Here is a 27,198-nt window from a genome sequence, read left to right as displayed (position 1 = left end):
CCTGCCCTCCTGAGAAATATCAATGACCCTATTTTTACTTCTGTGCAATTTCTTTATTCATATTCACAACCCCCCAACATGGTTTCAACAAAGGAACTTTTCAAGTTCTTTAGAAACTGTCAGTCAAGGATCTGGTTTAGTCAGAAACAAGGGAAGATTGTTGACTCGTTTATGAAGGCAAAAATAGAAGGTACACAGTTAGATTCGGGAGATCAGAGTGGACTCATTAAAAACAAACAACCAAAACAAAACAAAAAAAACCCTCTGCTGTTTGACCACATTTCAATTCTGTTTTCAGAGCTGAATTCTTAGGCCACTTTTCCTTCTTTGTTGCTAATTTGTGCAGTAGAATCCGATTCTCTAATTAGCAATCAAAGTGTCCTTCTCCACCCCAAAAATATCTGACCAATATCTGCCTCCATCTCCATGTAAACGAGAAAATGATCCAGTGCAGACAACCAGCACATCAAATCACTTTTAAACCAATGGCAGGTGGGTGGGCAACATTTCTCTGAACTGGGAGCCAGGAACTCTGGTTCAAATTCCACCTGTAGGCTGTTTGGCCTCAAGGACTTACAAATAATTCAGGCATTAGCTTCCTTGCCTGTTGCGGGTGAGTGGTCCTCTGGGGCACACACGCTCACCCCTTAATTTCTGCAAACTGATTAACTGAATTGAGTATTCTAATTCAAAGAACCACTCAATATATTCTATGTAGAAAGAGGCTTAAAATTCTAAATTTTCTGCAAACTAAAATAGAATTTTGACATCAACTCTAGCTTTTTTATAATTATATTCTAGTTTTCTTTCAAGCAAGTGGCCATAAGATCTGCGCTGTATCGTGGATATTGCATTGAGTCATGCCTTGTGGAAAGAGGTGATTATCAGATAAAAAATAAGACCAATTGTATTTTTTTCTAAAACCCACAGACAATAATGGCTTGATTTTCTGAGATATGTATATATTCTTAAATGGTATTATCATTTTTATGGTAGTTTTTTAAATTATGGTTAAAAAAATGAGATCTTATGGTCCATAAAAATAAAAATTCATTATTGTGTTAATTGATGAAATGTCTCTAATCCTTCAAGCACCTCAGCCTGGACATTTTTTATGTTCTACATATTTTTTTTCCTTCTAGAGTTTCCTGGGAGTTTCCTGGGAGTTTCCTGGGAGTTACCAAACTTAGGCCACAGATATTTTTTTCACAAAGTCTTTATTGTCTCTCTGAATTGCCCTAATTTCTGAAAGCATTTTAGGGGATTGGGTAGTGTAGACTTGACTCAGTGGATTCCCTCATCTTGTGTAACCCTTGGTTTTGTCCAGCACATGAGTCCTGGCCTCTCACTTCTCCTCTCATTCCCTGTGGTTTCAGTGGGCTTTGCCGTTGTTATTATTCATACCTAGGATGTCCCAACTAGTTGTGCAGTACAGGGTGGCTGTTTTTGTTTTCTTCTGTATGCAAAAATTGATTTCAGAGGCTTCAAACACATAGATATCCTACAGCAAACAAGAGAAAACAGCAAATAAACACAGTCTGCAGAGAGTGGTGGTGGTGGTGGTGGTTTTGTAAATTACCGAAAAGCCGCAGGTTATAGGAATCACCCTCATTTTCCATGCCCATGGCATGAAAATCCCCCATGATGATGTATTTATTTCATGTTCTCGTTGTCTTAGGTTTTCGGTGGCTGTAGTTGGGGGTAAGGTGCCGCAGTGTCTCTTGTTAAACTGGCCTTACAGGACCCCATACTTCAGGGTGAGGGCTGACTGCAAGGACACTCACCATGCGAAGTTAGAACGTGATGAAATCAGACACGAACTAAATATCTGTAGAGGACTAGAATCAAAATTAGTGTGCTGTTGAGCACTTCTCCTAAACTCTCTAAGCCTCAGTTTAATTGTCACTAAATAAGGATAAGGTACCTACTTCATTGTGTCACCGAAGAACACGCAGAGCTGCACTGCACGCTTTCTACAACACACTCAGAAAAACTCGTGCTACCACCGGGGTTGAAATTTTCTTGAAGGTGGCACCTTACACAATAAGGTTAGGGAAAATCAGAGGCAACATAAAAAAAATAGTCTCTGGTGTTGTTCATGCTTTCTAGATAAACCCACAATTTAAATATGGAGGCCACCTCATTCCCTGCTACCAAATGCCCATGGTAACAAGGGGAAGGTGAAAAAACAGAAATAAGCTACTGTTTCTTCTGATGTCACACTCTCAAAATCCCAGCTGAAAGTACAACTTAATGGGAAAAAAAAATGGGTGGCTCAACACATAGTCTAAGCTCAAAGCTCCATTACAGAGAACGGCCTGTTACTCATTTATCCAGTTTCATTCATTAATTTGTCAGTCAATATTAAATGGCTAGAGATTTCTGAGTTGAATAAAAAGGGAAAACATGCATTCATTTTTCTGCTCTGAGCAATAAAAGTAAAGCAGAAAAGAGGTAATAGGTCACACGTGTGCAATTTGGGGGAGCAAATGCTTTAGAGAATTAGAAAGAATAAATAAATAATTTCCAATTTGAAAGGAATGGTAGCTGCAAGCATTTAACATGTGTTAACTAAAATCTCTTCCCTCTTTCTAGGCAGTGCACTTAAGGGATATTTTGGTTTGCTGCAGTTTTCCCCCCTTTTTATTTTCTTCTCTTTTCAGGATATCGCTGAAGGGATCACAGCAGGAAATTACTTGTGCTTGTCAGTTGATTGTGCAGTGAAGAGACCGGTGGGGCTCAGAGCTGAAGATCTCTATCCACCGACCAGGGAGATTGAAAGGCAGTGCGATGGAACGGGCACGGCCGCTCCCTGACCTCTGCCTTGACCTTGACCTTGAGCCCCCGGCCTCCCAGCGAGTGAGAGAAAGCCCACAATGCAGTGGCCTGATCTGGCCGGCCTTGGCCATCACCCTCCACCCTTCTAAACAGGAAGGTGGTGCTGCCTGTGGATGAATCAGCATTTCGAAGGACCGGTCTTGCCCGCCTGCTTGAATTCTGTTTGACTTTTTGCGTAGATAATGCTCCTCTCTCTAGGGACCTAGAAAGTCTTGCCTCAGAATAAAATAAAAGGTCAAGCAGCCTACACTGTTTCTACCTAGTAAAACCACAAAAGTGAAAAGCTGATAGCTCTGTGGGCCCCACGTTGGGGTGTTTGCTGTGGTCTCTGCTGCTGTGGCACAGCCCTGACAGTGGCGTTTCTTGGCTTCAATTAATGAAAGAGTAACGGATGCCCAGGCACACATTTTCAGGTGCCATAGGACCAAAATTTAGCATGGCACCAATGAGGCTTCCCTGTTAGAGTACAGGAGATGTATTAGTTTTTCCTAGCCAGAATTCAGACTCACATATATGTAAACATCAGACACTGTATTTGGCACTTTCATGCCCATCATCCACATGTACTTAGGTCACTCCAAGGCAATAACCCGTTATTAAACAGCCTTGATCTCATGCTAAAATATCAAATATCCATGTGTGGCATCTGGACAGTTCATGAGTTAATCTCTGAACATAAGTCATTTTCTGAAGGTGCTGTCTTTTGAGAAGAGATCCGGGAAAATGTGGGGCTGTGGTGGTGGCGGGAGTCACTGAAGCTGCCACAGACGGGACCTTTCCTACAAAGATTTCTCCCACGCCACAGCGCCAGAGTTTGCTGAAAGCCTGTGTGGACACAGGGTGTCTATTTCTCTACATCTTCCTGGAGCACGAAATCTCACACCAACAGGGACTTGGGTGCAACAGGAAGCACCAGCACAGCCCTCCCTGGCCTGGTCTGGGGGCCCAGCTGCAGAGAGGGAGTGCATCAGTCTACCGCATTGCTATAAAGAAGTGCCTGAGTCTGGATAATTTATAGAGAAAAGAGGTGTCATTGGCTCAGGGTTCTGCAGGCTGTGCAGGAAGCATGGTGCTGGCATCTGCTTGGCTTCTGGGGAGGCCTCAGGAAGCTTCCAGTCATGGTGGAAGGTGACAGAGAGCCAGCGAGTCACATGGTGAGAGCCGACTAAGAGGGGAAGTTGGGGGGTCAAGTTTCTTTTTTCTTTGCAACCTCCACCTCCCAGGCTCAGGCAATCCTCCTGCCTCAGAATCCCAAGTAGCTAGGATCACAGTCGCACGTCACCACGCCTGGTATTTTTGGGTAGAGTCAGGGTCTCGCTATGTTGCCCAGGCTGTTCTCGAACTCCTGAGCTCAGGTGATCTGCCCGCCTCAGTCCCCCAAGGTGTTAGGGTTACAGCTGTGAGCCCCCACACCGCGCCCGGATTTTTAAACAGCAAGGTTCTGTGTGAACTAACTGAGCAAGAGCTCATTCATCACCAAGGGGAAGGTGTTACGCCTTTCATGGGGGATCCTCCAGCAACCCCATGACCCAATACCTCCCACCTGGCCCCACCTCCAAAACTGTGGATCATGTTTCAACATGAGATTTGAAGGACACCTCCAAATCATAGCAGGGTACATGCACACAGGGCATGCTGTGTGCCAGGGAGCACGTAGAAACACCATCTAGCTGTATTCTTTTTAAAGAGAATTTAAAAAGAATTACCATTTAGGTAACCTCAAAGAAAACAATAGTTTTATTTATAGAATTCTCATGGAACCAAGAAAAGTGGGAATCTCAGCAAGGAGCTCTGAGGTTCCTGGAGCTCAGCAACAGGACCCTCCCAGTGTGTGGACCCCAGCATGTGGCACTGGGAGGACTCTGTGGCCAGGTGTGCGATGCCCCACCAGGCCGCCTCTGCTGCGGCCGAGCTTCCCCCACTCCCGCCTGTCTGCGCCCCCCACACTCTGCACAGCCCGCCGTGTTTCCCCCACTCCCCCCAAACACCCCCGCCCGGCTCTCCCTGCACAGCCTGTTGTGTTTCCCCCACTGCCTCCCTATGCCCACTCTGGTTCTCCCTGCACAGCCCACTGTGTTTCCTGCGTGTTTGCGTTCTTATGCACCCTCAGCCTCGTGGCCTTTCAGTTCCACGTCTGATATCTTTCTTTTTTTCTGCATCTCCTATTCAGACCTTACAGAAAATGACAGTGTGGTTTGCAGTCCCAGTGGCCCTGTCTGGCCCTGTCTGGCCCAGACCTGCCTCCTGGGCCGCCTGTCGCCTACCTTCCCGCCGTGCCTGCTCGGAAGCCTGTGATGACCAACCTGGGAGGCCAGGTGCAGTGACTCCGGCTAGCTCCCGGGGCTGCCCTCTCAGTGGGGCCTTGACGGGAGCCTGAAGGACTCAGCCTCTGTGTGGTTGTGCTGTGCACAGAAAACACGACCGTCTGTTGGGAAAGGAAAGGCTGTCTGAAAAGGCTGTTACAAGAATGAGAACAACACCGTTCCTGAGGCTGCGTCCCCACCTCCTGTCTCTGACCATATAAGCCTTTCCAGTCTCCCTGTCCAGCAGCTCCACGCAGCTCACGTTCCTGCTTGTCATTCTGATGACTCACATGACAGTACCCTAAACTCCTTTGCCTATTTGTCTTTGAGGTACATTTTGTTGTGGAAAATGCTGAACCCTAGATGAACAGAACAGTGTACTTCTCCACGCCTGCATCTGGGTTGCTCCAAGATGCCAGCAATTCACTGATACTGCTATAAGTTTGTGCTCTTATGATCAGCTGACTTATGTAACTTGCCCTCTGCAGGACTTAAAAACCTCTCAATTTTCAGCGAACACTATTGTCTCTACTTCTTCAACTTCAGAAAATGACTTGAGTTGTAATTTACAGAGAGATGCAGCCGCGATATATGAACTATTGCACACTCCACCTGCCATCTGAATGTTCCCTTTCTCTCCTCTCTACATAAGAAGAGGGTGACTCCACTTAATCCAAGATCAGTTGGCCAGGTGCAGTGGCTCACGCCTGTAATCCCAGCACTTTGGGAGGCCAAGGTGGGCAAATCACTTGAGGTTAGGAGTTGGAGACCAGCCTGGCCAACATGGTGAAACTCCATCTCTACTAAAAATACAAAAATTAGCCAGGCGTGGTGGCAGGCACCTGTAATCCTTATTACTTGGGAGCCTGAGACAGTAGAATCACTTGAACCTGGGAGGTGGAGCTTGCAGTGAACAGATTGTGCCACTGTGCTCCAGCCTGGGCAACAAAGTGAGACTCCCTCTAAATAAATAAATAAATAAATAAATAAATAAATAAATAAATAAATAAATAAATAAATAAAATATCAGTGCCCCCACCTCTGCTGTCAAATCCATCCCCAAAGACTCAGGAACCTTGTGGTGTTCACTACATTCTCTGTCTTTGAACCTGTGAACCATAAATTCTCATCAGTGCTTTAAAAAACTCTTATATTATAAAAGGAACCTCCCCAAAAAGCATATTTCTTTCTAGAACACATTCAATTTCTCACTTCAATCCACAATAAACTCAAAAGTGGCTTAATCCTCATCATCTACATTCACTTCCATGACATTCACCGCCTGCCCTGCCAGAGCCCAGCCTTCCCCAGGCACAGGATATGGGTCCCCTTATGTTCCCCTTAATGTCCACATGACATTCACCACCTGGTCCATCAGAGTCCAGCCTAGTACTTTCAGGCCTAGGCCATTAAATTTATATCACCACCCAGGTCTCTCTGATGAGCTCTGGACTTGTGTACTTAACTATCTACCTAGCATCTCTATTTATATTTCTCATTGGATTTTTAGAAGTTAAAATATATGACTTTTTTTTGCCAGCAATACGGTTGACTGTAGAGAGACTCTCACCTTGCCAGCACTATAGCAAGTTATATATCTAGAAACGCCTAAAAATTATATGCGAAATTAAAAAGAGTATGCCAATGGCTAGAATGTGAAATCCTTAAAGGCGAGAAACAATGGAAATGCAAAAAGAAGGAGAAAGCCCAGAAGCTGGCCCTCCCTGGGGCCTCTAACCATGCCTGGTGGCAGCATTAATTTTGTGCCTTCGTAAGTTGTAAGAATGAAGACCAATGCTACTTTCCCAAGCAGGGGTAGAGGTCAGATTGCAGACTCTTCTAAAAAACCAGGGCCCCTGAAACCCAAAACCCTCAGTGAATGCAGAAAAGAAAACTGCCCTGAAGAAGAGGGAAATATATTTTCCTGTTTTAGTCCTGTCTCTAGGTGTGGGAAGAGAATGAAAAAAAAGTAAAGAGGAAAAAGAGGAAGGAGGGAAGGAAAAAAGAAGGAAAGAAGAAGGAAGGGAAGGAAGGAAAAAGGAAGGGAAGGAAGGAAAATGGAAGGGAAGGAAGGAAAAAGAAAGGGAAGGAAGAAAGAAAAGATGGAAGAAAAAGAAAAAGAAGGAAGAAAGGGAAGATGGAGGGAAGAAAGGAAAGAAAAATGGAAGGAAGAGAAAAAGAAAAGGAATGAAGGAAAGAAAGAAGGAAGAAAAGAAAGAAAGATTGAGAGAAAGAAGGAAAGATGGAAGGAGGGAAAGAAAAGAAGAAAAGGAAAAAATAAAGGAAAGAAAGAAGAAAAAGAAAAAGGGAAGGAAGGAGGAAGGAAGAATGGAAAGAACGAAAGGAGAAGGCCATGTCTACCTGCAAGCCATATCCCATGATAGTTTAGAACTCTCCTAAATCTTCTGGAGGAACACACATTAAACAGATCCCACAGGTAACGTCACAGTGATTAAAAGCTCATAATAACACACACACACACAACCAAAAACTAATTATGCCTCAGAGTGTTAAGACAAGCAGAAAAATAGCAAAACCAGATCCTCAATTAATGAGGTACCAACCATAACATATGTTTATTTGTTTTTAAAAACATCTCTGAAAGAGAGAGAGTACATAGAAAGTATGATTTTTGAAGACCATCAAAATAACCAAGGCAGACTGGTAAAAATTGAATAGGTAAAGAGGTAATTAGACATTTCTAGAATTAAAGACACCAAGCCTCAAAACCCAACAGATCTCAAACAGAAAAAATGAATAACAACTCATGATGAGATAAACCTTAGTAAAGCTACAAGTGCAAAAGGTAAAGGAAAGATATGAAAAGGAGAGAATGCCACTGGAATCCGACTTCTTGTTAGCAGCATTGGAATTGGAAGACAGTGAAATAAAGCAGAGAAAAATGGCCATTAAACTAGAGCGGAATAACCAGAAAGCCTGCCTTTCAGGGGTGACTTCAACCACTCCCCAGAGAACACTGCTAGGGAGGAGGGGGAAGCTGAGAATCTACTCAGGAGACCACTATAACAATTCAAACAAAATGATGATTTTTGGCTTGGAGCTAGGATTATAACTAAATGAAAATAGACTATACATTCCACAATGTCCAAATTAGTACAAGAGAAAGAAAATTAAACGAAAACCACACACAGCTAGTTCAAATAAAACAAAACTAGAAGTGGAAAAAAGCTTTTAAAAAGGAAGAGAAATGGAAAGTAGCAATTAGGATGGTGGTCCCTAAGGGACCACCACTCCCTTTCCAAGACCTCTGCTGATGGATTTGCTCCAGAGAGCTTCTTTGACCAACACTTTGTCTTCATGGCAGTTATTTATTTGCATGGCAATTTTTAAATCTATCTGGTCTTACTGAACTTTTCAAAATTGCTTTAGCTACTCTAGTTTCTCTGTCTTTCCATACAAATTTTCTTCAAAAAATTATTTACATCTACAAACATTTTTAAAATTTTGATAGGAATTTTGTTGAATTTGTGTATCAATTTGGAAAGAATTGACATTTGCTATTTTGAATTTTCTAATCCATGAACACAGAATATTCTTCCATTTATTTATTTTCTTTAGTTTTCAGCATACAAATTATACATACATTTTATTGGACTTATACTTGTGATATTGTGGTATAATAAAAAATATATATTTAGTTATTTCCCTGGTACCTGGTACACAGCTCTTAAAACTCTTATAATTTCCTCAGTGATAAAAGCCTCTTTTGTTAAAGTATTTGTTCTTTATACTCAGTTCTCTATATACAGCTCTTAAAATTTTGGAATCTCTAGAGTGATAAAAGAGAGGTTTTCTTTGGATGCTAATTAGATTACTGGTGCCTGGGAGCCCCTGGAGAGCTTCAAGATGGGGGCTTGTCACCAAAAAGACCAAGCTGTGATTACAGGGTTGGGACTTTAGCTCCAACATTGAACCTCTGGGGAAAGGAGATTGAGTTAATTGCCAGTAACCAGTGATTTAATTAATCATGCCTAGGTAATAGAACCTCTATTAAAAAACTGAACAACAGGGGGGTTCAAAGAGCTTCCAGGGTGGTGACCAAATCAAGGTGCCCGGAGAGAGGGTATGGAAGCTTCTCAGCCCTCCCCACATCTTGCTCTGTGCATCTCTTCCATTTGACTGTGAGTTTATACTTTATAATAAATCTGTAATCACAAATACACTGTTTCCTTGAGGCCTGTGGGCCATTCCAGCAAATTATAAAACCCAGGGGAAAGGTTGTGGGAATGTTTCATTCATAGATGTTTCGTCAGAAGTATGGGAGGCTTGGGACTTACAGTGGAGTAAGTCTTGTAGGGCTGAACCTTTAATCATGGCACCTGATGCAAACTACAGGGAGGCAGTTAGAACCGAACTGAATTGTAAACCACTGTCATGGAATGCATGCCTGTGTCTCCCCAAAATCCATATGTTCAAGTCCTGACCCCCAACAAGGAGGCTTAGTAGATACGGCCTTTGGGAAGTGATTAGGTCATGAGGGCAGCACCCTCGTGATGGTATTAGTGTCCTTACAGGAAGAGGACCAGAGCTAGCTCTTTCTCTTTCAGCCATGTGAGGATACAAAAAGAGGTCAGCAGTTTGCAACCTTGAAGAGGGCCCTCAACAGAAACCAACTATATTGGCACCCTGATTTCAGAATTCCAGATTCCAGAACTGTGAGAAATAAGTCTCTGTTGTCTATAAGCCACTCATCTATACTTTTTTATAGCAACCTTAACTGACTAAGACAAATCTGGCTAGCATTAGAGAATTGGTTGATGGGGCAGGCAGTGGAGTGAGGAAAGAAAACCCAAACATTTTGTGGTTTTTTTTGCAAGTGAAAAACCTCATTGCCACATAGTTCTCTTTTTTTGACTGATTGTAAATGTTATTTTATTTTTAACTTTATGTCCTCATGCTCACTGCTAAATATAGAAATGCAAATAAATTTTGTATATTTATCTTGTATCTTGCAACCTTACAAAACTCCTTTATTGGTTCTAAGAGGATTTTTTTTTAATATAGAGCTTTGGAATTTTTTAAGTAGACAACTTAAAAAATTTTAAGTTGCAGTTGCAATCATGACAACTGCAAAAACGTTTATTTTTGTTGTCCTATTGCAATGGATAGAACTGCTGGCACTGTGTTGAATAGCAGTGGTTACAGTGGACATTCTTGTCCTTTACCCAATTGTAAGGGACAGCATTGAATCTTCTGATTAAGTAGAGTGTTAGCTATAGGCTTTTTGTAAACATTGTCTATCACTTCTCCTTCTATTCCTTCCTTCTGAGAGTTTTTATTACAAATGGATGTTGATATTTTTCAAATGCTTTCTGTGCATCAATTGATATGATCATGTGATTTTACTTTGAAACTCAAGAATAACACATGCTTAGAAAGAGAAAAGTGCAAGAATAACCTATTTTTTTCTTTAAAAATATTGGTAAATATTACTTTATAAACTTTTAAAATCATACATTATATCAGGGACATTTTCACAGATCAGTCAACATATTTCTATAAAATGATTTTTAATGACTGCATAACAGTTTATAATTAATGTAGTAAACCAATCCCACTTAATTAGATAACTTAGATGATTCGTAGTTTTTATATTTTTCTCAATATTGCTGTGCTTCTATACATATGTATATATTTTTAAAGATCACTGATTATGTCTCTAAGATAAATTTCTATGAGTGGGATTTTTTATTTAAAAATCCATATTTTTCAGACTTATGGTATGCATTGGCATAATTGCAAAGCTTTATTTAACAAGTAACTGTTGGACCACTCAGTGCACTATTTTATTGCATAGAATATCACATTATTTCATGCTTTTTGGTCACTGAAATACAATAGTTTACAATACCATCTTTGCGTGTCTACGTAGAGAATTATGTAATCCCATACATCTCTTTGTTTACATCTGTTTTTGTATTTTCCCTACTAGATAATGAAGTCAGTGGAACAGAGATTTTGTTATGTTAATCTTTGTATACTTAGTAACTAATTCAGTGCTTGAAACAAATTTTAAGAGGAAATTTGTTACATAAATATTTTTTAAACTAACATATTTGAATAATTATAAAAGGAATAAATATTCATAATAGACAATGGAGTTAGTTAAAAGTTAACATTTGAATTACCTGAAACTCACAACTAAAAAATAAACACTAAAAACTGTATGGTGTAATTTTATCTCATTGTTTTTGATATCTATACTAATAACTAATACAGTTAGAGATCAATGAAAAAAGAGAGAAGAGATGCCATGTATCCAGTTATACTTTGAGAATGCACTTGTCAGAGACCAAATTCCAAAGTCCCCAGGCCAGGGTCCCTTCTTATCTGAATAGTGTGGGAAACACATTGGGAAATAATTTCTTGATAATCTCTTTTCCAGAAGTAATTTTTTTCAGAGCATTTTTTATCAACCAACACATTTTCATTTCAGAGTGGGTACAGTGAGTATAATAAAATTTTCAGACTTTTTCAGACTCCACATACACAAATGCATGCACACACACACTCTCAATGTAGTAATAATCTCCCAAGAATAGACATCATCACCTTTATTGAAACTTGTATATTATAGAATTTCCTGCTCCTCATTTGTAACTTACTGGTTAGGGTCGACAGTTTCTACACATGACTTCTATACACATTTTGTTGTTTTATTTTTAAAGGGTATTACCTTTAAATTTCAGAGAAAAATGATTCAATGGCATAACTTTACATTTAGCATTGTAGACACCATAAACTGGCTGACATTGTAAGTAAGTTGAAAGATTTTATTTTCCTTATCTGTAAACCAAAAGAATTGTAAATTCCTCTTCTACATTTCTAAGAGCTTGAAAGTTCTACTATAGCCAATTTTAAACTTGAGCATACAAAAATCTTAGAATTAATAAGTAATTAACTTAGTAACTTTTGTTTTGGAAAATATGTAGGCTACACATATGATTTATTTCAAACGGAAGCATGATTGCACTTGAAGAACTTGTATGCTATGGAGGCAAAACTGTAAATACATACCTATATTTATTAAAAATTGTTTAATATTTATAAAATATAAAATATGGTTTTATTTGTGAACAATGGTACATTCTTCTAAGTTAAAAATTATCCACAAGGGCAAGTGTTTCTATTTGGCTTACTGGATTCCCTAAATCAAGTACCTCAATAGTATCTGGCATTTAGTAGACATTCAGTGAGTATTGGTTTCATAAATGAGTCAATGGGTTTTGCAATTGTCGAAGAAAGCTTTATGGAATATGTTAGAATTAATTTGGTTTGTAATGATGAGTAGAATTAAAATACATTCAGGGGATCAAGAGTCATATTCTAGTAAAGAGGGAAGTAGTAAAAAATATTGAGTGAAAATGATTACGGCATATTTAAGATGGATCAGTAAATATAACAGAACATGTATAGCAACTAATAATAGAATAACAACTAATTAATAGAACAAGTATGAAAGGCTTCACATGTCTTTCACAAAAACTAGCAGGAAAGCAGACAGAGATCCTCATTTAAGGAGGAAAAGTATACTTTTTAAAGCCCATGAACTGTCTTGCAACAATATGCAAAATGAATCTAGAAGGTAAATTTAAATAGTTCCTCAAGAAGGCTTTTCCAAAATTCAAGAGGTGAGGGATGAAGTTCTGGGTTAGGACCAGAACTGAGAGGAAAAAGCATATAAAGTTTGATAAAAAGTAATTTGCACTTTGGAGTTTCCCATAAATAAATAATCAACTTTAAGGAAAATATAATGGCAAAATGAACAAGATAGAATAAAAAAGCTATAAACATTCCGAATTCTGCTTGTGGAAATTTTCAGGAGTGAGTTAAATCTATAGAACTTATTCGAATGTTTACGGCCAATTGTTTGAATCAGCCTTTGTTCATCAGCAGGTGTCATTGTTGGCTGGTCGTCCCAGTCACCATGCTTCCTAGGAAGAAGGTCCACAAAGGCACAGCATGGCTCATTGGGCTGCATGGTGCCTGTCTGGAGAGACACTTCCTGGACCACTTCTGCACTGTCCACGTGATAAACAGCCCCATAAACTTCCAGCTCCTTGGACCTGACATTTATTCATTCTCAAGAGAAAACACTTGGTCTTTTCCATTAGGACACATTTCAAATACTAGTAGAGAAATGTCCAAGATTCATTTGTGTCCATTCCCTGGATTATCTGTGTGAAAAGGAGAATTCCTTTTTAAGTTTTGGGGCAGATTTGCTCTTTCAATTAGCCTTTTGGGAGTAGCATTTAATTCTATAAAGTTGAAGTAATGGAGAAAAGAGAAATCCAATGATAGTGTGAACAAGATGGAACAAGAGAACTTGCCTCACCCCACTACACTCATCAACAACTTGGGAAGAATTAGACAAAATGAGGCTCTTTCTGGGTCTGGAATGATGGAGAGAATCAGGTCTACATACTCAACACAACTATTAAAACACCCGCTCCCGCTTCCTGATCAACTCCTGATCTCTCTTATCTTTCTCTACATGAACTTCTCTGCATGCTACTTTTCACTTTCTGACATAATATACACCTTACTTATCATGTTTATTAATTGTAGCTGCCCTTCTATTCCTGAAATGTGAGCTCCGGCAGGTGGAAGTCTTTGTGTGACTTACCCTGTAAGGTGTTCCCAGACTCCGGAATCGTATTGCACATGGCAGGTGCTCAATTATTACTGAATGAATAAGGAAGCCTGGATTATTGCAATATTTGCTATTTTTCCCACTTTTCTAATGACAGTCTCCCAATCCCTCATGAGGAAAAATGAACCCTCATGGATGCCCAAGGGAGAAGTGCCTTGGATGGAACCACAGGCCATGCTGAGGGCAGGAACAGCACATCTCTGCACAGGAAGTGGATTTCCATCAGCAGCTGGCCAGGCTCCAAGAAAAGCAACTCTTGCTCAGCTTAAGGCACAAGAGAACTATGATTCATACGTGTTTACAAAAACAGCAGTAAAGGAAGATAAGAGTTTACAGCAGGTGTCAAGCACACACGTGGCTGTCAACCCTGGCTGCTACTGTGTTGTCACTGACAGAAACGGGAGCTCAGAAAAAAAGGCTGGGTCATGTGTGCTTAGTTGTATTCCCCCCTCCTTTCTCTGTGTGCGTGAGTGTGTACACTTTAATTTACTTCGCCAATCTACCCCAAAGTGAGAATGAGTGATGCGCAGGCTGGAAGAAGGTGGAGCCAGGCTATAATCAGAGCCCAGATTTTTCTTTTTACTTTTTTGTTTAAATAGATGAACAAAAGGCTTTGGGTTTTAATGAAAAGCACAGGAAGTGGTAGCAAAGGAATAAGGTCCTTTCTGGATGACATTTGAGAGCCTCCTTTCTCCTCCCTCCCACCCAGTTGCAAATGTGAGCAAATGGGCCCCTCGGTGGTCTGTATCATCCCCAGGGGCCTTCTGGGCTCCATTGTTGGTCACACACCAATGCCAGTGGAAAGACACAAAGGGCGAGGCCCTCCAACAGCTTTAAACATTTAGAATCAATATAACACTTTCAAATCTTAAATATTTTAATTTAAATGTAAATAGCAAACCTGACATTGTTAGTCTGTATGTATTAATCTGAAGATAGAGATTTTACAGTTTATGTGTAAGAAAGAAATACATCAATCACCATTAGTAGAAGTTCAGTACCATCTCTAGTGGTTGGTGTTTTTAACCTTCAATGTTGATATTTTCTTCTAACTATCACGGGGGGACTGAAGTGAGCTCACTAAACTGCATCTCAGTGCACAGGAACTGAGGCCACAGAGACACACCAGGAGCAGCTCCATCCTTTAGCTGACCTTGAGCTATCGGGGAGCTTCATCAGGGGACACTATTCCTTTCAATGAGGCAGGAATCTTGGGTCAGTGTTCTTGGCAGTGACTATGGAACCACTGTCTTGGTCAACGACACACAGACGAGGGAGACAAGGCGGCTGCAGGACTGGGTGTGGGGATGTCAGCATCTCATGACCTCACATTTCACCCCAAAAGCTTCCTTGGTTAGGCAGGTCCTAGACAAAGTGGAGATAAGGCATGGGCAGTGTAAACATATGAGAATAATTACTTAATTTGTATAAATCAAAGCAAATTTGACTCTGAGCCACTACTCAGCAAGACCAAGGAGTAGCCCAGCCACTGACTGTGGGTCCAACCTCAGGGGGCTCATGTATTTCAGGGAACTGCAAAGGGGCCATAGTTTATGTAGGATGGAGCCACTGGTGCTCATTTCTGTCCTCTGTGATATTAGAGATAGAAATCTCTGATAATGGTGCCAACTTTCTCTTTGCAAAATTCAGCCCAAGCATCTTCTCTCAGAGTACCAACGTGGTAAGACTGCAGGCTCACACAGGAGGAAATAGCTACCTGCCTGTTCTTAGGGTGTGGAAGACCCAGCTCTACAACAATTCCCCTGACAGCCTACTTTTTTGAACCAAAATGTGAAGGGCAAGGAGGACATTAGGATAGGTCGTCCCTACCTAACTGGACCCCCACATTGCAGCAAAGCGTCCCCAAGTGGAAAGAAACGCAGGACTCAATAAAACAGGGGCCTCATGGAAGTTTCCATGAGGAAGGATAAGACCATTGCTATTGCATTATTTTGTTAATGGGTTTAAATTATGAAACCACATAATTTCTTAATAATTGTCTTATTATGGACACATATATTCAAGATATTTTTCTATTTCAGTTATTTTGCAATGTCAAATCAGATCCTATCAAAAGCTAAGTTGTATGTCAAATCACTCTGATGTGTTACAGAGTGCAGAAATATGTCTGAATTTCAGGCTCTAAGTTGATGGAGACAGCCCCATCCTTTGCCCGGACACCACCTCTAAGAGATTATGACTGGATCATTTTGGGAGGGAGTGGAGATTAGCAGTTCTCAAACGACCTACCAGGGAACTCTAACTCACAGCCTGTCCTGGGAGTCACTAAGTAGGAAGACTCCCTGAGACGCAGGAGCATGACAGCGGCTCTTCTCTTAGCTTCCCTGATTCACGTCTTTGACTTTTAACCAAAATAATCATGGGCACACACTTTATGAAGTCCCACTATGGTATGCACAGTTAAAACATTAATTTAATAGGGAATGATTTGCAAAGTTGTAAAATGATTTACTTTGTTTGATACAGTAAAAAGATATTTCCACCACAGTTTCTTTAATGATAGGCATCTGGGTAATTAGCACCTGGTCTTAGCAGAGGTGAGAACATGGGCATGCTGGGAGGGGAGGTGGCTCAAAGCCAGGGAAGTGGAGTGAAAACCAAAGGAACCAAGGCAGACACATGGAGGGGATGTGGGCTGAGTGTCACCTAATCAGGGCAAGACAGATCCAGTCCAACTGTGAGCCAACTTTCCAGTTCCCTGAAATAAACAGCAGAGAGAATGTCTAGCATATACCAAAACCCTACACGGGAAAGAACAAAATAAACAGCCTGGTTTCTCAAGGAGCAAAATATTAGCTGGGGAGGAGGGGAGGGTTGCACCAAGATAAAGTACAGCACGTTTCTGACACTGCCAAAGTTTTAGAGAAGCAGTCAGGATTGTTTCCAAATCCTCAAGGTTCTTTAGGCTGGAGTGATTTTCATGATACCTTGTTGGATATTTTTGATTCTGAGTGTAATGAGACTACATCTGCTATTAACGAGAAGTTCACCCTGAAAAGCTGGACAGAGGAAAGATAGGTAGGAATTGACGGGTATAACAGACAAAATGTGATTCAACTGTATATATTTTTAACTGCTCACCACACAGCCTTCTAGGAACCTGGTGAGGCCAAAGACCGTTAACTACCATTAGTTCCCTTCTTCTACCTCACTCTTTCTGTGACACCACCAGTCTGTCAGATGCCTACTTATGCTTACATTCTATTGCATATTCATTATTATGTCTTCAGTGTTTTCTTTGCAAGTTGAAAAGCAAACACCCACATTTGTTTTTTGACTTTGTACCTAGTGTTTTTCATGCCACCAGGTTGTTTGCCATCAATCAATATCATCATAGGTAAAGGAATCAGGAAATAGTTAAAACTGAAAGGTAACCAATCAAGACTTCCACTTCATGAAAGCTAGAAAAGAGGCATATTTTCTTTTTCCCCTGACAACTAATCACCATGAACATGGTATGCAAACCAAACACAGGATTCCAAGGGTGGAGGGAGGAAGGTAGATGGGCAGGGTGTATTAATCCATTTTCACACTTCTGATAAAGACATACCTGAAATTGGCCAACTTACAAAAGAAAAAGGTTTAATGAACTTACAGTTCCACATGGCTGGGAAGGCCTTACAATCATGGCAGAAGGCAAGGAGGAGCAAAGTCACATCTTATGTGTATGGCGGCAGGCAAAGAGAGAACTTGTGCAGGGAAATGCCTGTTTTTAAAGCCATTAAATCTATTGAGACTTACTCACTATCACAAGAACAGCATGGGAAAGACCCGCCCCCATGACTGAATTATCTCCCACCAGGTACCTCCCATAACACACAGGAATTATGGGAGCTACAATATAATTTTAGGTGGGGACACAACCAAACCACATCACAGGACCACAGAACCTTGGGCAGGAGCAACACAGCAGTGAGTTGGCTGGGCCTCTTTTTTGCCACATGTTTACCAGATGAGTTTCTAGAGAAGTAATCACCTGGATGCACTAAAAAAGTGCAGATACACAAACACACATGCATATACACACATACACACACATGCACACACATACACACATATGCACACATGAACACGCACATGCACACAACACACATACAAACACATACACATGCACACATACACACATGCACACACACATGCATGCACACACAAACACATGAACATGCACACTCATGCATAAAAACATGCATGCACATACACACATGCATACACACATAAACACACATGCACATATGCTTGGGCATGCATAAACAAACACAACAAAAGTGTGTTCTATCTAGACAAAGGACCAGGGAAAAGCCAGCCTAGCAAGAGAGGAAACGTTTAGAAAATAACAGTCCCATTCCAGCCAAACACCATGGAAATACTCAATTCTGACTTCTACTTCTGCCAGCAACGGACCAGGGAAAGCCCAGATTTCCACCTTCACCAGGCCATAAAAAGGGAACTCAATTCCTTTGCCTGGCAGTGTTGGAGAAAGCCGAAAGCAGAGTAGTGTCTCACATCCCTGCCGGGTGAAGGGGGGCAGATCAGACAGACGAGGGGAGCCCAGAACCTTCACTCTTAGCTGGCGGTGACAAGCCAGGGGTCCTGTCAGAAGAAGCCTAGTGGAGAATCAGAAATTTTACAATCACCCAGTGGCAACGAAGATCCCCACCGAGCAGGTGCCAGTGGCAACTGTGCGGAAAAGAGCAGCAAGGCATTCCTGCTCCCTCCAGGTGTCAAGGAGGCTGAGAGGGAAACTGTGCTTCCACTCCCACCTGGAAGAAGATCCAGAGTCTCATAACAATACGCAGGGGTCCAGGATTTAATCAAAACCCATTTGTCATGCCAAGAGGCAGGAAGACTTCAAACCAAATGAAGAATGCCATCAGTAGATGCCAATACGAAGAATACCAAGATGTTAGAATTATCTGACAAAGATTTTAAAGCAGTCATCATAAAAATGCTGCAATGAGCAACTATGCACATACTTGAAACAAATGAAAAAAAAAGGAACGCCTCAGCCCAGAAGTGAATGATATAAAAAAGAACCAAATAGAAATTTTAAAACTAAAAACTATAAAAGTCTAATTAAAGAAATGAAAGTCAATGGATTTTCTAAACAGCAGAGCAGAGGAAATAAAGCAAACAAACAGTGAACTGAAGAGAAAACAATAAAAAGTATTCAAACAGAACAATAGAGAGAACAGTAGATTGAAAACAAACAAAAAAAGGATCTGAAGACATATGGTGTTATCACACACAAAAAAATCTAAAATTCATGCCATCCGAACCCCAGAAAGAGAAAAAAAAAGAAGGTAGGATTGAACAACACTTGAAGTAAAAGTATCTGAAAATTTAACAAATTTGGTAAAAGGCATTGAACAACAAGAGATTGAAGAAACTGGGCAAAATCCAAGCAGCATAACCAACCAAACAAAGAAACAAATCTACACCAAGACGCGTCTTAGTAAACCATCTGAAAATTAAACACAAAGAAAAAAAAGGAGCAGGAAGAAAGCGCACTAACACCTCACCCAGAGGGAAAACATTCATGTGATAGTGGATTTCTCATAAGAAACCAGCAAGGCATCATTTTCAAATTCTGGAAGAAAAGAATTATCAACATAGAATTCTATATCCAGTGAAAGTATGTTCCAGTACTGAGGGGAATCAAGAAATTCTCAGCTGAAGGAAAACTGAGAGATGGATGGTTAGTATCCCTACCCTACAAAAAATAGCTAAATGTAGTTCTCTAAACAAAAACAAAGAGGATAAAAGAAGGAATTTTGGAACACCAGAAATAAAGAACAAAGAAGAGTAAAAATATGGATAAATGATAAATATTCATTTTCCTCTTGAGATTTTTAAATTATGTTTGGCATTTGAGGCAAAAACTTTAATACCATATCAAATGGTTCTTACATTACATCAAGGAAATATTCAAGAAAAACATATTACAAAGGAGGAAAAGAAAGGGACACAGGGATGAAGATTTCTCCAATTTACTTATACAGATGAAACATAAAAACGAGTAGACAGAAAACTAAAGTCAACAAATTATAAAATTGAAATCATACAGAGTATGAGCACAGAACGTAGGTTCATGGCCACAATAAAGTCAAACTGGTAATAGATAATAGTAAAATCTTCAAACATTTGGAAACTAAACAGCATATTTCTAAATAACCCAAGGGTCAAAAACTGAGTTTCAAGGAAAATAAAAAATATATTGAACTTAATGAAAGTGAAAAAATGTCAAAATTTGTGGGACAAAGCTAAAACATGGCTGAGAGAGAAATTTATAGAACTGAATGCTTACATTAAAGACAGAGGGAAAAAATCAAATAGCCTAAGTTTCCACTTCAAGAGCCTAGAAAATGAAGAGTAAAACAAGTGCAAATTAGAAGAAAAGGAGTAATAAAGACAAGAGCAGAAAACAGTGAAACCAAAGACACAAAAACAATAAGAGAAAATCACTGGTTATTTGAAAAAAATCAAAGAATTGGCACTCTTCTTGACAATATTGACAAAGAAACAAAGAAAGAAGACACAAATTATGAACATCAAGGAGGAAATAAGAGACATCACTAGAGATCATGCAGACATCAAAAACATAATAGCTGACTCTAAAGAGCAACTCTACACACACACATTCACCCACTTAGGTGACATGGATAAGTTCCTTAAAAAAACCCAACTACCTCAACTCACCCAATATGAAATTATTTGAATAGTCCTATAATTATTAGGAAAAATAAATTTTAAAACTCTCAGAAGAGAAATCCCCAGACTAATATGGTTTCACAGGAGAACTTAATTTCAATTCTACATAATTTCATCCAAGAAATAGAGGAGATGGGAGCACTCTTATTTCATTTTATGAAGCTAGTATTATCTTGATACCAAAATAGACAATACAGAAAAGGAAAATAAAACTAGAGATTAATAATCAATAATGCTTGTGAATATAGACGCAGAAATCCTTAACAAAAGATTACCAATCAGAATTCAGCAATATATAAAAAATCATATACCATGATTACATGAGGTTTATTCAAGGGGTGCAAGGCAAGTTCAGTCTTGGAAAATCAATCAGTATAATCCAACTTATTAATAGGCTAAAAAAAACTACACGATCATATCAATCAGTGAACAAAAAGCATGTAACAAAATTGAACATCTATTCATGATATAACTCTCAGAAAAAAGATGGACTTGATAAAGAGTATTTCCAAAAAACTTACACCTAACATTATACTTAATGACAAAACATCTAATGCCTTCCCTCTAAAACAGGGAACAAAGCAAGGATGTTTACTTTTATCACTTTTGTTCAACATGATGCTGGAAGTTCTATCCAGTACAATAAGTCAATAAAAGGAAATAACATTCATCCTTATCAGAAAGGAAGAAAACTGTTCCGATTTGCAGATCACATGGTTATGTACCTCAAGCTATTAAGAAGGACAGATAAAAGTTTTCAGAACTAATACATGGGTTGAGTGAGTTCACAGGATGCAAGATGAACATGCAAAATACATTTTCTGTATAGTATCTACGAATATATGGATACCAAAATTTAAAATAAAATACCATGTACAATCACTCAAAAAATGCTTGGATATAAATCTAACAAAACATATACAATATTTGTATGCTGAAAACTGCAAAAACATTCAGAAAGAAATCAAAGAAGATACATAATTTAGAGACATATTCTGCTTACAGATTGGAAAGCAAACAATCCAATTACAACCTGGGCAAAAATCAGGAGAGACATTTCATCAAGGAAAATACACAGATGGCAAACAAGTTCATGAAAAGGCATTCAATATCTTTAGTTAATAGGGGAATGCAAGTTAAAGCCATGGTGTACCACTGAATGTTTTTTCAGAATGGCTGAAATACGTAGACAACACCAAATGCTGGTGAGCATGTGGAGTAACTGGATCACTCAGACATCACAGGTGAGAATATGAAATGGTACAGATATTAGGGAGAAAAAAATGGGAATTAAAAGAAGAAAACTAAACATGCAACTATCAACTGATCCAACAATTATATTCCTGAGCACATATCCCAGAGAATTACAGATCTATATTCATACAAAATCTTAGGCACAAATGTTTATAGCAGCTTTTCTAGTAACAGCTAAAGATTCAAAACAGCCGAAGTAGCCTATAATAAGTGAATGGTTAGAGAATCTGTGGTGCATCCACACTGTGAAAAGAGACTCAGCAGTGGAAAGGAACACATCATTGACAATTCCAACAGCGTGGACGAATCTCACAGGCATTATGTTGAGGGAAAGGAGCCAATTTTGAAAGGTTACATAATGTGTGACTTATCTATGACCATTCCTGAAACAATCAAATTGCAGAGTTGGAAGACAGATTAGTGGTTATAGGGGATAGCGAGGTGCTGGGTGATTTTTGACTATGAAAATGCAGCAGAGAGAAATCTTTGAACTTGGAATGTTTTTGTATCTTGATTGCAGTTATTCCATTCTACTCACATGATGAATAATATAGAACTGTACAAGGTACCAAAGTTAATTTCTTGATGTTAATATTTTACTACAGTTACTTAAGGTAACCAATGGGGAAGATGGGGGAAGGCTATATGGGACCTCTCTGTATTATCTTTGCAACTTGCTGTGAATCTATAATCATTTCAAAACTTTTACAAAATTAAAGTAATCATTGAAAATAATTTAACATGTACTGTCAGGGGAAAGATGAGGAACGTGGAAGGAGTGATGAGTTGCTGAATCAGCTGTATTCTTAATCCCTCAAGTCAAAACGTAACATCTAAATAAAACATAACATCTAGCGAGAAGTTGAGAAATAGTTGTACATTCATAAAGTTTTGAGCAGTGGAGCTGACAATCAAAAGAACTAAGAGGAACTGGCTTTGAAAGCTGGATTCAAGGTAGGGTGTGGCCACCAGTTTAGGTAACTTGTTTCTCATTAGAAATTGTTCAGTTTTATTTACTTTTTAAATCTGTGTATGTGTAATATAAAATTTTTTAAAGAAAAAGCTACATAAAATAAGAAACCCTTTTCCATCAGCATTGTCTTGGCTCCAGGTTTATTCTCTTACATCCTGCAGATATTCCATAAGGAGGCCGTGGAAACTTTGTCAGACAGAACTAACTTTCTGTCATTGCTTCTGCAAACACATTTAGTCCAGTTCTGGTATTTGGACATTTATGAATATTTGATTTAACTGTGTTTCTGATTTCCTGTATTTTTTGTATATTTTTCAAATAAGAATTTTGGCAAGCTTTATATTCATTGTTACACTGGGACAAATTTACATCGGGTATATCCCAGTATTTACCAGTTGAAGCTCCATTTCAATACACTGGGAAGATTCAGAACCCATGTATGATAGACTAAATTGTCCAAACCTGTGTGTTCTCTTCATTGCTTCTGGTCTAGGAGTAGTTTTCTTGCATAATCTTACAGCTGGTACACTTCACTTGTCTAATTTCACTCACATTAATTAATAGACAGAGAACATAAACAGAGTCCCAATTAGGCTGGAGTGCCTGAGCAATTCAGTGGCAGCACCTCTTCAATTATCTAGGGTCACTGGATGAATACTGACTTACCAAGTGCAAGGAAACTTTTGAGATTTTTTTCTGTTTTTTAGATGTGCTACTCTTCAGAGTTTTGAAGAAGGAACATTGCACTGTGTGAAGTTCAAGTTTTTAAAAACCTTGGTTATCCCAAAGCTACAGCTTCAAAATAAAAAGTATAAAATCTGGAACATTGATGTTCATTAAATGAAAAAGGACATTATTTACACAATTTTAAAGCCAGCTTAAATTGGGTGTAAAAAATTATCTTCAGATTTTAAGATAAAAGGTGAATATTGGTTTGACAAATTTGAGAATATAGAAATTTTCACAAATATTAGATGGCCCACACATATTATGTACTTGAAATCTGCTAAAAGAATAGATCTTAAGTGTTCTCAGAATAAAAAAGAGTGGAAACTATGAAGTGATATGAGAAGAAATGGATATGTCAATTAGCTTGACTGCAGTAATTTGTTCACTGTGTCTGTGTATATCAAAACCTCATGCTGTATGCAATAAATGTATACAATTTCAATAAAAATTAAGTAGTGCTCCTCTTCAGTTCAAAAAATACTTGGAAGAAATAATTCTTAGAGGAACTTTGATCCACATGTTTATCACTTAATTTCTGCTCTGTATTTTTATTTACATGTAATTTAAGTTTATTTTTTTTCTTGTTGTCTTCTAGCTGAATATTCATATACCTGGAATAGCACAGGAAATCATGAGCCATGTGAATATGTAATACGTCTTACGGTAGTATTATAATATTAAAATTAAATTTATTCATTTATATGCAGATCTAGTATAAGTCACCTAGTCTTGTTTATACTTTTAATTAACAGCATGTAATATTCATGAAGTTTTCCATATTCTTAAGCATGAACAACCAGTATTTTTGAAGTCCATCTTAACTTCTAATCAAAGCCACTTGAGGGTTTGTGACCTTGAGTTTTCTTTTTCCTCTTGTTGTCTCTCTCTGAGGTGACTGGGGTCCAGATGTCTGTGTTCCTTCATAACCTCAGGAATTACTTTTGTTAAAAAAAAAAAAATCACTGTATTTGAATGAGTTCTGATAGATTCCGGGCTAAAACTGACTATTCCTCCAGACAAGAAGGCCATCAGAGGGACCCTTAACCCTTTTTGTCGTGTGTCACTTGACCTTGGGAAAAGAGAATGAAGAAGCTTTGACCGTGGGGCAGTGGGCATGATTTATCCGCCATAAATCAAGTGCTCACAAGTCCACAGATCTTGGGGTAAGCTGTATGATAATCAAAGTAAAGTTAAACTGGTGTGATTAAACTTAATTTTCGGTGAAAAACTTTCTCATGAACATGAAACAGTAGTTGTTGGGGTAGTCATAATACTTTAATAAATGTTCAATGATCTTGCCATCTAAATGTTGTTTATGGGCATCATTGCCAGTTAGACTCATGGCACAAGTATTGGCTGCATTTTAATAACCAAGAATTCTGCCACTGATATAGTTTTATTTACTTGTACATGTTGACTTTTAGCATCCAGCTGAGACTATTTCATAGTGGTTTCAGTTTATTACCTCATATGATTAATCTGTTGCCTTTAGATTTAATCTGTTGCCTTTAGAATGCTAAAAAGCAGATATTTAAACTCTCATGATGTGGTAAAATTACAAACCTTTCTACCAAGGAGAATAGCATTGATTATGTAAAAGTGAAACACGATGGGTTTCTGTGGAACACTTGGCTCCCCCAAACATTTATATCTCTCCTTTGGGGTTATGTGTTGAGTTTTAGTTTCTTATTTCCAGTCACCTTGAATGTGGATTTCAGGGCAGACCTGAGCTTGTGTCCTTGCTTCAGGCTCACCATCCTTTGACTCTACAGTGGAGGAATGGAGAATACAAGCATTTTGAACTTATTGTCTTTCTTCTTAAACTTGAGGACCATTCATAAGGTAATAAATGCTGGTTGACCTCTGATACAAAAATATCTCCAAGAGGAAGGAGAAGCATACTAGACTTAAAAGTAGAAAGCCTAAGTTTTGACGGCACAGACTCACTTTTCCCTGCACCTCCCTCTAAATATGACTAAATACTCTTGGAATAAATAGCTTGATAGAAAACCACAAAAGGCCCCTAAAAGGTGGTGGGAAAATAGACCAACTGAAGACCTTAAGACCAGAGGAAGGCAGAACAGGGAGTTTCTGTGATTCACATTTAAAAGGCTCTCAAAATATAATTAAATTGTCATTGAAATTATGTGTTACAAAAGTAAGCTAGGACCATATCCTATACATAAATAGGGTACATGCAAAAATAGAAGATTTAAATAGAACCAAGGGTTTCCTGAGATAGTATCTAAAGTATTAAGGATTTTGAAAAATCACTCTTGTTACAAGTAAACAGAAAAAATATAACCTGAATGAGAAAAGAAAATCAACCGACTCTCTTCCTCCAACATTGAGATATTGTAATTGATATTGAGGAATTGTTGTAAGAAGGATTTTAAAATATATTATAATAAATTTTCTCAAAACAAATTAAATGATAGAAAATCTCTACAAATACATACCATTTTGTACATTTTTAAAAAGACCTGAATGGAAATTATAGAACTGAAAAATATAAAAATCAAAATAAAAAATTCGTTAGATTATCTAAAAAGTACAGTGGATATGGCAAAGGATAAAATCAGTGAACATGAAGACAGATTATGAGAGTTTGCACAATGGAGAAAAATTAACCTGAAAAAAGAGAAAGAACAGAGTGTCAAGGGCTTCTGGGACAATAGCAGAGGGTCTAGTACTTGTATCATCAAAATTCCAGAAGAGAAGAAATTGGAAAACTGCAGGTGTATTTGAAGAAATAATTATATAATTTTGGTAAATTCTATATAATAATATGTAATGGCTGAAAACTTCTCCAATTTGACAAAAAACATAACTCTACAGATACAAGAAACTTAACAAATTTCAAACAGTATGAATCCAAAGAAATCCCAAACAAAATGCATAATTAAAGTTCTAAAAATCTAAAAAAAAAAAAAAATCTTTAAAAAATAACCATAGAGAAATGACATTATTTGTAAAGGAAGGCCATCTTAATAAACATGAGTTTCTCATCAGAAACTCATGGAAGCCAGAAGCATCACAACATTTTACAGGTACTGAAAGAAAATAATTTTTTTTTTTGAGATGAAGTTTTACTCTTGTTTCCCAAGCTGGAGTGCAACGGAGCAATCTCGGCTCACTGAAACCTCCGCCTCCCAGGTTCAAGTGATTCTCCTGCCTCAGCCTCCCAAGTAGCTGGGATTACAGGTGCATGCAACCATGCCCAGCTGATTTGTGTGTGTGTGTTTTTAGTAGAAACGGGGTTTCGCCATGTTAGACAGACTGGTCTTGAACTCCCAGTCTCAGGTGATCTGCCCACCTTGGGCCCCCAGAGTGCTGAGATTTCAGGAATAAGTCACTGTGCCCGGCCAAGAACAGAATTTTATAGCTAATAAAACTATCCTTCAGGAATGAAGGAAAAGGTAAAATATTGCCAGTTGAAGACAAATTAAGCTAACCTGTCGCTAGAAAACTTTACACTTAATAGCTAAAGGCAAACAAATATATAGAAAGTCAATAATAACAGACGAAGGCCATAAATTTCATAAAGGAATAAAAAGGACAATAGAATGTAGAAAAATGGGAGTTAACATAATAAACAATGCTTCACTTCATGAATTTCTTAATCATATTTCACTGTTGAAGCACAAATATATAACACCATTAGCTATGGTGCTCATTGTGCACAGAGGAAACTTTTA

General features: G+C 38.7%; 1 annotated feature.

Annotated features, from left to right (window-relative positions):
* Nucleotides 1,402-2,601: an enhancer, noted in NCBI's record as "BRD4-independent group 4 enhancer chr18:75535169-75536368 (GRCh37/hg19 assembly coordinates)". NCBI's record gives its function as "activates an origin of replication core promoter dependent on BRD2, P300/CBP, MED14 and CDK7 cofactors, and independent of BRD4, by STARR-seq in HCT116 cells {active_cell/tissue: HCT116}" and the evidence as "EXISTENCE:reporter gene assay evidence [ECO:0000049][PMID:35650434]".

The sequence above is a fragment of the Homo sapiens genome, chromosome 18, assembly GCF_000001405.40.
Source record: "Homo sapiens chromosome 18, GRCh38.p14 Primary Assembly".
NCBI lineage: Eukaryota > Metazoa > Chordata > Mammalia > Primates > Hominidae > Homo > Homo sapiens.
Note: the sequence above shows the minus strand (reverse complement) of the source record. Positions and strands in the feature narration are given on the sequence as shown.